Genomic DNA, 13,889 nt, shown 5'->3' on the forward strand with positions numbered 1-13,889 from the left:
CATTCCTTAAGAGTAGGCTATGCATAGTGATTTCAGGGTGTGGGGAGTAACTTTACAGTGGAGGAGCCTGACAGATACTACCTCAGTCTGATGATCAAGGCCAACATCAGCAGTCATCAATCACGTTGTTAGTATGTACCTTTGGCAAGATATGGTGCAAAGGACATGTTACTTCTCTGGCCTTTCTCCCAAAAATCCATAAACCCAGTCTAATCATGAGGAAAACATCAGGCAGATTCCAGTAATGAAATATCCTACATAATACCTGAGTAGTACTCATCAGAACTGTCAAGGTCATCAAAAGTAAGGAAAGTCTAAGAAACTGTCACAGCCAAAAGAAGTCTAAGGAGACATAACTAAATAGAATATGATGACCTGGATAGAACACTGGAATAGAAAGAAGACATCAGGTAAAAATTAAGGAAATGTGAATAAAGTATGGACTTTAAAAATAATGTGTCAATATCAGTTTAATTTTAACAAGTGGACCATATAGTAAGTGTAAGGTGTTAATAATTGAGGAATCTGGGCGCAGGGTATATGGGAACTCTCAGTGCTGTTTTCTTAATTTTTTTATAAACCTAAAACTATTCTAAAAAAAAAAAACCAGTTATTTTAAAAAGTACTATATTAAGGAAGGTTATATACAATAAGAACCGTAAAACAAAACCTTTATCTTACACCGTATATAAAAATCAACTGAAAATGGGTTAAAGACTTAAATGTAATACCTGAAACTGTAAAGAAAACATAGGGGTAAGGCTGCGTGACACTCGTCTTAGCATTGATTTTTTTTTTGGATATGAACCCAAAAGCACAAAGGAAAAAATAGACAAATGGAATTGCATCAAAGTAAAAAACTTCTGCACAGTCAAGGAAATAATCAACAGAGTGAAAAGAAAATCTACAGAATGGTAGAAAATATTTGCAAACCATATATCTGGCAAGGTGTTAATATCCAAAATTTGTAAGGAACTCAAAACAACTCAATAGCAAGAAAATAACCTTATTTAAAAATGGGCAAAGGCAACAGGTATATGAAAAAATACTCAGCATCACTAATCATCAGAGAAATGAAAATTAAAGCCATAAAGTGATATCATTTCACCTTCTCCCCAGTTAAAATGGCTTGTATTAAAAAGACAGGCAATAACATGCTGGTGAGGATGCAGAGAAAGAGGACCCCCCCCACACACACCGTTGGTGGGAATGTAAATTAATACAGCTACTATGGAGAATAGCTGGAGGCATCATGCTACTCAAAAAAACTAAAAATAGAACTTCCATATGATCCGGAAATATCCAAAAGAAAGGAAATAAGTATATCTGCACTCTGTGTTTATTGCAACACTATTCACAATAGCCAGAATATGGAACCCCCCAAGTGCCAATCAATGGATGAAGAAAATACAGTGTATATATACACAATGGAATATTAGTCATAAAAAAGAATGAAATCCTGTCATTTGCAGCAATATGGATAGAACTGGAGGCCATTATGTTAAATGAGCAAAGCACAGAAAGATAAATATCACATGTTCTCATTCATATGCAGGAGTTTAAAAAATGGATCTTGTGAAGATAGAAAGTAGATTGGTGGTTAACAGAGACCAGGAAGGGGGAAAGGGGAGGGAGAAGATGAAGGGAAAAAGAGAATATAAATGTATTTATTACCACTGAACTGTACACTTAAAATGGTAAATGTGGTAAATTTTATATTTATATTTTACCTCAATACATTTTTAAATGGTGAAGAATCTGAATAGACATTGCATAAAAGGAGACAAACAATGGCCAAAAAGTATATGAAAAATGCTCAAAATCACTATCAGAGAAAAGCAAATTAAAACCACAATGAAAGATCATGTCACACCTGTTAGAATGGTTATTATCAAAAAGACGAAAGATAACAAGTGTTGGAGAGGATGTAGAGAAAAGGGAATCCTTGCACACTGATGGTGAGAATGTAAATTAGTATAGCCATTATGAAGAACAGTTTGGAGTTTCCTCAAAAAATTAAAAAGAGAACTACCATATGATCCTACAGTCCTACTACTGGGTGTATATCCAAAGGAAATGAAATCAGTATGTTGAAGAAATATCTACACTGCCAGGTTCATTGCAGCATTATTCACAATAGCCAAAATACAGAATCAACCTAAGTATCAGTGAATGGAGGCATAACAAAAATGTGAACTAGGTATTGAAGGAACATACCTCGAAATCATAAGAGCCATATATGACAAGCATCATACTGAATGATCAACTACAATGGTATTGGAAGTTCTAGTCAGGGCAGTCAGGCAAGAGAAAGAAATAAAGGGCATCAGGAAGTCACACTATCCCTGTTGGGAGACGACATGATCCTATATTTCAAAAACCCCCCAGTCTCAGCCCAAAAGCTTCTTAAGCTGATAAACAACTTCAGCAAAGTCTCAGGATACAAAATCAGTGTGTAGAAATCACTAGCATTCTTGTATGCCAAAAACAAGCCGAGAGCCAAATCAGGAATGAACTCCCATTCACAATTGCCACAAAAAGAATAAAATATCTAGGAATAGCTAACTAGGGAGGTGAAAGATCTCTACAAGGAGAACTACAAACCACTGCTCAAATAAATCAGAGATGACACAGACAAATGGAAAAACATTCCATGCTCATGGGTAGCAAGAATTAATATCACTAAAATGGCCATATTGTCCAAAGCAATTTATAGATTCAGTGTTAAACTACCATTGACATTCTTTACAGAAATAGGAAATAGACTACTTTAAAATTAATATGGAACGAAAAAAGAGCCATAATAGCCAAGGCAATCCTAAGCAAAAAGAACAAAGCTGAAGGCATCATGCTACCCATCTTCGAACAATGCTACAAGGCTACACAGTGTGGTACCAGTACAAAAACAGATACATAGACCAATGGAACAGAATAGAGAACCCAGAAATAAGACTGCACAGCTACAACTGTCTGATCTTTGACAAACCTGACAAAAGCAATTGGGAAAGGATTCCCTATTCAATAAATGGTGCTGGGATAACTGGCTAGCCACATGCAGATTAAAACTAGATGCCTTTCTTATACCATATACAAAAATTAACTCAAGATGGATTAAAACGTAAATGTAAAACGCAAAACTATAAAATCCCTGGAAGACAACCTAGGCAATACCATTCAGGACGTAGGCACAGGCAAAGCTTTCATGACAAAGACACCAAGAGCAATTGTAACGGGCAAAAATTGACAAATGGGATCTAATTAAACTAAAGAGCTTCTGCACAGCAAAAGAAACTATCAACAGACTAAACAGACAGCCTACAGAATGGGAGAAAATTTTTACAAACTATGCATCCAACAAAGGTCTAATATCCAGCATCTATAAGGAACTTAAATAATTTACAAGAAAAAAAAACATAAAAAAGTGAGCAAAATACATGAACAAATATTTTTCAAAAGAAGACGTGCATGTGGCCAACGATCATATGAAAAAAAACTCGACATCACTGATGATTAGAGAAATGCAAGTCAAAATCACAATGAGATACCATCTCACACCAGTCAGAATGTCTGTTGGTAAAAAGTCAAAAGATAAGATACCGGCAAGGTTGTGAACAAAAGGGAATGCTTATACATTGTTGGTGGGAGTGTAAATTAGTTCAATCATTATGGAAGACAGTGTGGCAATTCCTCAAAGACCTAAAGATAGAAATACCATTTGACCCAGCAGCCCCATTACTGGGTATGTATACAAAGGAATATAAATCATTCTCTTATGAAGAGACATGCCATGTATGTTCATTGCAGCACTGTTCACAATAGCAAAGACATGGTGGAATCAACCTAAATGCCCATCAATGATAGACCAGATAAAGAAAATGTGATATATATACCCTATGGAATACTATGCAGCCATAAAAAAGAAAGAGATCATGCCTTTGCAGGTACATGGATGGAGCTGGAGGCTGTTACCCTTAGCAAACCTAACACAAAAACAGAAAACCAAATACCACATGTTCTCACTTATAAGTGGGAGCTAAATGATGAGAACACATGGACACATAGAGGGAAACAACAGACACTGGGTCCTGTTGAAGGTTGGAGGGGGTAGGAGGAAGGAGAGGATCAGGAAAAATAACTAATAGTTAATGGGCCTAATACCTGGGTGATGAAATAATCTGTACAACCAAACCCTCTTGACGCAAGTTTACCTATGTAACAAGTCAGCACATGAGCACCCGAACTTAAAACTTAAAAAGATAATACGGTATATATACACAATGAAATACCAGTCAGCTTTAAACAAAGAAGGAAACTCTGTTATTTGCAGCAACATGGATGAATTTGGATGACATTATGTTAAGTGAAGGAAGCCAGGCACAGAAAGACAAATACTACGTGATCTCACTTATATGTAAATCTAAAAATGGTAAACTCATAGAAGTAAAGAATAGAATGGTAATTACCAAATAATATGGTTTAGCTCTGTGTCCCCACCCAAATCTCATGTTGAATTGTAATTCCCAGTGTTGAAGGTGGGGCCTGGTGGGAGATGATTGGATTATGGGGGTGGTTTCTAATGGTTTAGCACCATCCTCCTAGTGCTGTCTCATACAGTTCTCATGAGATCTGATTGTTTGAAAGTGTGTAGCACCTCCCCCTTGTTCTCTGTCTCTCCCCTGCTTGCTATGTGAAGATATGCTTGCTTCCCCTTCGCCTTTCGCCATGATTGTAAGTTTCCTGAGGGCTCCCCAGGCATGCCTCCTGTACAGTCTGCAGAACTGTGGGTCAATTAAACCTGTTTTCTTCATAAATTACCCAGTCTCAGGTAGTTCTTTAGAGCAATGTGAGACTGGACTAATAACCAAAGCTGGGAGGATGTCAATCAAAGGATACAAAATTTCAGCTAAATAGGAATAATTTCAAGAGATCTATCATACAACATGGTTACTACTGTTAATAACAATGTATCCTATTCTTGAAAATTGCTAAGACAGTAGATTTTGTGTTTTCACTACAAAATAATGAGGTAATACATATGTTAATAACTCAATTTAGCCATTCCACAATAAATACATATTTTGAAACAACACACTGTAAATGATAAATTGTACAATTTTATTTGTCAATTTAAATAAATGTAAAAAAGAATAAAAAAACAAGAATAAACTGTATGAAAACAGAATGCTGATACAAGAAAAAGCTGTTAGAATTTTAAAATGTAGGTACCAAAAGCTCAGCATAAGACCTGGAAACTAAAGTTGAGGATATCTTTCAGAGAGAAAGAGAGAGAGAAAAAGAAGATGGATATAGAGGACCACTTCAGGAATTTTAATATCTAACTAATTGGAGAGTGGGGAAGAAAGAAGGGGAAAAGTGGAGAGAAATCATCAAATAAAATAATACAGAATCATTTTGCAGAGCTAAAATATATAAGTCTTTGGTTAAAAAGAGCCACTGAGGCCAGGCACAGTGGCTCACACCTGTAATCCCAACACTTTGGGAAGCCAAGGCGGGCGGATCACTTGAGGTCAGGAGTTTGAGACCAGCCTGGCCAACATGGTGAAACCACATCTCTACTAACAGTACAAAAATTAGCCGGGTGTGGTGGCACGTACCTACAGTCCCAGCTAATCGGGAGGCTGAGGCAGAAGAATTGCTTGAACTTGGGAGGCAGAGGTTGCCGTGAGCTGAGATTGCGCCAGTGCACTCCACCCTGGGTGACAGAGCAAGACTTTCTCAAAAAGCAAGCGAGGCCGGGCACAGTGGCTCACGCCTGTAATCCCAGTGCTTTGGGAGGCTGAGGCAGGTGGCTCACGAGGTCAGGAGATCGAGACCATCCTGGCTAACACAGTGAAACCCTGTCTCTACTAAAAATACAAAAACATTGCCAGGCGTGGTGGCGGGTGCCTATAGTCCCAGCTACTCGGGAAGCTGAGGCAGGAGAATGGCATGAACCCGGGACCTGGGAGGTGGAGCTTGCAGTGAGCCGAGATCACGCCACTGCACTCCAGCCTGGGCGACAGAGCAAGACTCTATCTCAAAAAAAAAAAAAAAAAAAACACTGAGTCCTGACAATTATGAATTTCTTTAAGACACATGCATAAACATGTCCTTGAAGTTTTGGAAAAATGTAGATAAAGAGACTAGGATGGTATTAGATTCTCATTGGCATCCCTCAGGAAATGGATTTGAACTTAGATTTCTGTATCTTGCTAACCTAGTAATTAGGAATGAGGTTCACATAAACCTGATTCCTGGACATTCATGGACTGAGAAAGTTTATCTCCTTTATAAGTTACCTCTTTGCTTCTTAAATGGTTACTTGCATATATACTGCAGCAAAGTAAGTAAACCAAGAAAGAGGAATACATGAGACCTAAGACACAGTGGATTCAATCCAGAGAAGTAATGAAGGGCAGCATCAGGATAACTGAAGAGCAGCCAGTTCAGAAGAGAGAAGGTGGTAAAATTCCTCCAAGCAGGTCTTCTCCATGATGGGGGAGAGGGAGGCAAGGAGCAACTCCATGCAATACAGTTACATTTGAGAATAAGGGGGCTGGGCACAGTGGCTCACGCCTGTAATCCTAGCACTTTGGGAGGCCAAGGTGTGCAGATCATGAGGAGATCGAGACCATCCTGGCTAACACTGTGAAACCCCGTCTCCACTAAAAATACAAAAAATTAGCCAGGCGTGGTGGTGGGCGCCTATAGTCCCAGCTACTCAGGAGGCTAGGGCAGGAGAATGGCGTGAACCTGGGAGGCGGAGCTTGCAGTGAGCCAAGATCATGCCACTGCACTCCAGCCTGGGTGACAGAGTGAGACTCCATCTCAAAAAAAAAAAAAAAAGAATAAGGAAACAAGGCTATGATGAAGCCTGTGTCAATAAGTTAAACAAATGGAAGAACATTCCATGCTCATGGGTAGGAAGAATCAATATCATGAAAATGGCCATATTGCCCATGGTAATTTATAGATTCAATGACATCCCCATCAAGCTGCCAATGACTTTCTTCACAGAACTGGAAACAACTACTTTAAAGTTCGTATGGAACCAAAAAAGAGCTAGCATTGCCAAGTCAATCCTAAGCCAAAAGAACAAAGCTGGAGGCATCACGCTACCTGACTTCAAACTATACTACAAGGCTACAATAACCAAAACAGCATGGTGCTGGTACCAAAACAGAGATATAGACCAATGGAATAGAACAGAGCCCTCAGAAATAATGCCGCATATCTACAACCATCTGATCTTTGACAAACTTGACAAAAACAAGCAATGGGGAAAGGATTCCCTATTTAATAAATGGTGCTGGGAAAACTGGCTAGCCATATGTAGAAAGCTGAAACTGGATCCCTTCCTTACACCTTATACCAAAAATTAATTCAAGATGGATTAAAGACTTCAATGTTAGACCTAAAACCATAAAAACCTTAGAAGAAAACCTAGGCAATACCATTCAGGACATAGGCATGGGCAAGGACTTCATGATTAAAACACCAAAAGCAATGGCAACAAAAGCCAAAATTGACAAATGGGATCTTTTTAAAGTAAAGAGCTTCTGCACAGCAAAAGAAACTACCATCAGAGTGAACAGGCAACCTATAGAATGGGAGAAAATTTTTGCAACCTACTCATCTGACAAAGGGCTAATATCTAGAATCTACAATGAACTCCAACAAATTTACAAGAAAAACAACCCCATCAAAAAGTGGACGAAGGATATGAACAGACACTTCTCGAAAGAAGACATTTATGCAGCCAAAAGACACATGAAAAAATGCTCATCATCACTGGCCATCAGAGAAATGCAAATCAAAACCACAATGAGATACCATCTCACACCAGTTAGAATGGCAATCATTAAAAAGTCAGGAAACAACAGGTGCTGGAGAGGATGTGGAGAAATAGGAACACTTTTACACTGTTGGTGGGACTGTAAACTAGTTCAACCATTGTGGAAGTCAGTGTGGCGATTCCTCAGGGATCTAGAACTAGAAATACCATTTGACCCAGCCATCCCATTACTGGGTATATACCCAAAGGATTATAAATCATGCTGCTATAAAGACACACGCACATGTATGTTTATTGCGGCACTATTCACAATAGCAAAGACTTGGAACCAACCCAAATGTCCAGCAACGATAGACTGGATTAAGAAAATGTGGCACATATACACCATGGAATACTATGCAGCCATAAAAAATGATGAGTTCATGTCCTTTGTAGGGACATGGATGAAGCTGGAAACCATCATTCTGAGCAAACTATCAAAAGGACAAAAAACCAAACACCGCATGTTCTCACTCATAGGTGGGAATTGAACAATGAGAACACATGGACACAGGAAGGGGAACATCACACTCTGGGGACTGTTGTGGGGTGGGGGGAGGGGGGAGGGATAGCATTTGGAGATACACCTAATGCTAAATGACGAGTTACTGGGTGCAGCACACCAGCATGGCACATGTATACATATGTAACTAACCTGCACGTTGCGCACATGTACCCTAAAACTTAAAGTATAAAAAAAAAATAAGACTCTGGAGGGGTGCATGGGTTCTATACTAATGTGTTTTTCAAATGTGTTTCAGGGTGTTTCTCTTGTTGTGGATATGTCAGGAAATGGTTGTGTTCACCTTTCCAGCTTAAGGAAACTCGTCAAAGCTAATGAAAATTGTTTCCATAATTTTTGTGTAAATAAAAATGATTTCTAATTTCATGAAAAAAAGTAAATTAAAAACAATTAGAAATGCCAGGAAGAATGAAAAAACTATATAAGACAGCCACGATCTAAACAAGAAGCAGAATAAAATATGGTATGATTATGAACAGCTGATGCAGTTAGAAAAGACAGTTTAACCTCAATGTCAGAAACAATCTCCTTTGAACATTCCAAGACCCTGATGCTGGACCTACACATAATGAAATACGTTCCTCATAGATTGCCTGACCTGACATTCAACCATATTTATATAATCAAAATATCACAAAAACATTTTAGTTTATAGCATCTAAAATCACTGTGTGGATAATCTATAGAAAATTTTATTGTGGTTGTAGAACAGTATGAAAAAAACCTGCACAACATAAAAGTCAAAATATTGCCAATAAAATATGAAGGTAAAAGGGAGAAGAGAGAATAAGGATGGGTTGATATTATCCTATGTAAAAGGAAAGTAAGGAACTATGATGAATGAAAATTAGATGGATAAATACAAGTTTTGCAGCTTACAAAGATAATCAACCAAAGAACTGAACATCATAACCTCAAATATTGGGATAGGGGAGTAAAGTAGGACAGTACAAATGAGCTAAATCCACATGTTTCCTAGCAAAGAATCAATATTTTCTAAAGTTGATAAAGTACTAATTATAATGTAGTTTTTAATTACATTTTTATTAAATATATGTTTAGTTATAGAGATAACCAGCAAAAGACCTAAAAGTGTAAATGATTGGAAAGAAGTGGGGCTAAAGATGGAAGGGTGGGGTAGGTTAGTAGAATGTTTGTTTATATAAATGCTTGTATATGCTTTTGCTTTTATACTGTGTGTATATATAAATTTTTTACGTTTTTATTATGGAGAATTTTGAAATGCATACATACTGGTATAGCAAAGCCTTATGTACCCCTCACCTAGTCCCAGTAATGATCAGAAATTAAGAAGGCAGAGAATAAAAAACCAATAGCACTTTTAATAAATTGAAATTTTGGTTATGGGAAAATATTAACAAAAACCAACAGCTGACTAATTTGATTAAGAAAAAAGGGAGAATACACTAATATGCAAAATAAGAAATAACAAGGAGGATCTCGCTCTGTTTCCCAGCTGGAATGCAGTGGCACCATCACAGCTCAGTGCAGCCTCAACTATGTGGGCTCAAGCAATTCTCCCACCTTAGCCTCCCAAGTAGTTGGGACAACAGATGTGCACCACCACACCCAGCTAATTTTTACATTTTTTATAGAGACAAGGTCTTGCTATGTTGCCTAGGCTGGTCTTGAACTCCTGGGCTCAAGTGACCCTCCCACCTTGGCCTTGTAAGTGCTGGAATTGCAGGTGAATCACTGCACCTAGCCAGAAGAAACTTTTAAAATCAGAAAAGGCTACTTTGCAGACACCTAGGAAAATAAATGTGAAATCCTAGATGAAATGGACAGTTTCCTAGGAAAATACATAGGACCCAAATTGACTCCATTTGATTTAGAAAGGTAAACAGACTAGCTTTTATAGAATAAATACAGATATTTATTACAAAACTGCACAAAAAAGCACAAAGCCCAGGTAGTTTTACAGGGGAATTCTGCCAAACCTTCAACAACCAGGTAGTTCAAATGCTCCATAAATTATTTCAGAGTATTGAAAAGGAAGGAAAATTTCAAACTCCTTTTATGAAGCAAGTATAACACTGATACCTAAATCAGGAAAAGACCATCCAGAGAATAAAACTGCAAACAAATATAGCTTCAAGATGAATGATAAAAGGTAATAAAACATTACCAAACAATATACCATGACCAAGTGGGATTTATTCCAGGAAGGCAAGATTGTTTTAATATTAGGATATTTATTGTGTTAAGCTGTTCTTGCATTGCTGTAAAGAAATAACAGATACTAGGTAATTTATAAAGAGAAGAGGTTTAAGTGGCTTACAGTTCTGCAGGCTTTACAGGAAGTACGGTGCTGGCATCTGCTTGGCCTACGGTGAAGCCTCGGAGTTTTCAATCATGGCAGAAGGACAAGGGGGAAGCCAGCATCTCACTTGGCGAGAGCAGGAGCAAGGTGTGGGGGAGTTGCTGCACACTTTTAAACAACCAGATCTCATGAGAACTCACTATCTCGAGGACCGCACCAAGAGGACAATGCTAGATCGTTCAAGAGAAATCCACCCTATGATCCAGTCACCTTCCACCAGGCCCCCATTTGCAACACTGAGGATTACAATTCAACATAAGATTTGCCAGGGAAATAGATCCAAACCATATCATTTATTAATGTCGTATGTTATATCTAAGGAAAAAAAATTTCTCTGTATTTTAGATACTTTCTTAACATGATGAAATACATATACCTTAGTGTTAAAGCCAATATCTTATTTAATGGGAAAACACTAGAGGCACTTCAACAAAGATCAGGAACAAGGCAAGGATGCCCACTATCTCCACTACTATTCAGCATTTTACTGTAGTAATTGTATAAGAGAAAACAATTAGAAGCATAAGATTGGTTAAAGAAGTAAAAGTATCTTGTTGCAGATGACAGTAAAGTTTGAAAATTCAGAAAAATTAGTAATAAAACTAACTCAATAAAATATTAAAGTAGGAGGAAATAAAATTAACAGAAAAATCAATAGATTTGCCACTTCTGACCAAGAAGGACTAACAGGGACTGGATTTACCTTCCACTTGCAACAAATGGAAAGTAACAGACAGGAAATATAAAACAATGGGTTTTCAAGATGGTGCACATCAGGCAACAAACGAGTGATTCATTCCTGAGAGACAGAAACAAAGTGAGTCTTAGGATTGAGAGAGCGTACCACCTTGAGAAAGTTTTCTAGTCATAGTGCAAGAATGGGAAACCCAGGCTGAGTTAAGTGGACTCCTTGAGTTTAGGAGACAGAGCCTAAGGGTCTAAGAGAACCAAGGTGACTAGAATTCTCTGGACAGAGTACCAAAGAGGAGAGAACTGCATGGAGAACAATCCTCAGAGATCTTCAGAAGTTCCTCCATGAGTATTCAGCAGAGTACTGATCAGCAAATAGATGAGGAAACTAACCAAAGCTGAACAATATATGGAATCAACCTAAGTATTAGTGAATGAAGGCATAAAGAAAATGTACACAATGAAATACTATTCTAGTAGTAATGGGCACCTTTCACACCCAGATTTGGTTTCAAATACCATTTTCCAATGAAAGGAGCCAGGGCTTCTTAGACAAAAGGTTCGTATACCAGAGCTGGGGCAAGGAAAATACAAGATAAACATGGGTCATCTTATGCCAGAAAATATGAAAGTCCCCATAAAAACACAGGGGCATATCAAGAGAACACAGGTGGCCAGGCTCATGCCTGTGATCCCAACATTTTGGGAGGCGAAGGCAGGCAGATCGCTTGAGCCCAGGAGTTCGAGACCAGCCAGGGCAACATGGTGAAACCCCATCTCTACTAAAAAACAAAAACGGCATGGTGGCACACACCTGTAGTTCCAGCTACTCAGGGGGCTGAGGAAGGAGGATCACTTGAACCTGGAAGGTAGAGGTTTCAGTGAGCCAAGATGGAGTCACTACACTCCATTCTGGGTGACAGAGTAAGACCCTGTCTCATTTATAAAAAGAGAACACAGGAGCCAACCTGAAGGAGCTCCTAATGGCCAAAGCTACATCAATTTGAGCAACAAAATGATGATAGTATAGGATTATAACCCATAGAATGAAATAAATACCCATGAGTCTGCGCTGTTAAAAAAAAGTAAATAGGCCGGGCATGGTGGCACACGCCTGTAATCCCAGCTACTCGGAAGGCTGAGGCAGGAGAACTGCATGAACCCAGGAGGTGGAGGTTGTAGTGAGCTGAGATCGCACCACTGCTGCCCTCCAGCCTGGATGACAGAGCAAGACTCCGTCTCAAAAAAATAAAAGAAATAAATAGGAGAGAAGAGACAGCTCTTCCTTATAGAAGATTTCCAGTTAAGAAATGTAGACAGAATAGAAACAAAATCACTATTAAGTAAACACTACAGTGTAAATGTTGCAGGCATAATCTAACAATAGATGCTAAAATGAATGAGAGAACTTTTGAGGAGAAATAGGATATTGACACTCTCAAAAGCGTCTGCCTCCATGATATTTATCTATTATTAAGAGAAAATAGCAACTTTACAGTGGAGAACGCAGCAGACACCACTTGAACTAAGTGTGATTAAAGTTAACATCACCAAATGAAGACATACCAACATCACATACCCTCTGTATTACGTATGCCCAGTGATGCACTGAAAAGGACTCATCACTTCTGTGGTTCTCCTGCCAAAAATGTGTAACCTTAATCATGACCAGACATCAAACAAAACCAAATGGAGAGACAGTCTACAGAATAACTGACCAAAACTCATTAAAAGCATCAAAATCGTAAGGAAAGACTAACGAACTTTCACAGATTGGAAGAGACCAGTGAGACACAAAAGCTAAATGCAGTGTAAGATCCTGGAACAGAAAAAGACATTAGTGGAAAAACTAGTGAGATTTGAGTAGTTTCATATCTTATCCATGTTCATTTTCTGGTTTTTATCACTATACTATTGTTTGTGACTTGTTACCATTAAGGGAAGCTGGGAGAGGAGCATAGGAAATTTTTCTATAATAATTTTTGTAAGTATAAGATTATTTCCAAATAAAAAGTTAGCCAGGCATGGTGGCTCATGCCTGTAATCCCAGCACTTTGGGAGGCCTAGGGGAGTGGATCACTTGACACCAGTAGTTCAAGACCAGCCTGGCCAGCATGGTGAAACCTTGTCTCTACTAAAAATACAAAAATTAACCTGGTGTGGTGCGACATACCTGTAGTCCCAGCTACTCAAGAGGCTGAGGGATGAGAATCCCTTGAACTTGGAGAGGCAGAGGTTGTCATAAGCTGAGATCGTAGCACTGTACTCCAGCCTGGGAGGCGGAGCGAGACTCTGTCTCAAAAAATAAAAATTATGTAATATGTATAATAATAAGCCTAAAAAAAGTTAAAGAAATAAGTCCATTGGTTTGAGACTATGTATTGGTATTATAGCTAACTGCTCTGAAGAAACAGAAGAGATATACTTGATGTCTGTCTGTTGATGACAAGCCAGTTAATAGACTATATCTGTAATGGCATAGCTATTTCCTCTGGTTA

At 38.4% G+C, this 13,889-nt stretch overlaps 1 protein-coding gene across 9 annotated transcripts in view; it reads left to right on the forward strand.

The window, feature by feature from the left end:
* Nucleotides 1-13,889, forward strand: part of PPP2R3A (protein phosphatase 2 regulatory subunit B''alpha) — a 182,167-nt gene that overhangs the window by 90,160 nt on the left and 78,118 nt on the right. The window lies entirely within an intron of this gene.

Source organism: Homo sapiens, chromosome 3, assembly GCF_000001405.40.
Source record: "Homo sapiens chromosome 3, GRCh38.p14 Primary Assembly".
NCBI classification, from domain to species: Eukaryota; Metazoa; Chordata; class Mammalia; order Primates; family Hominidae; genus Homo; species Homo sapiens.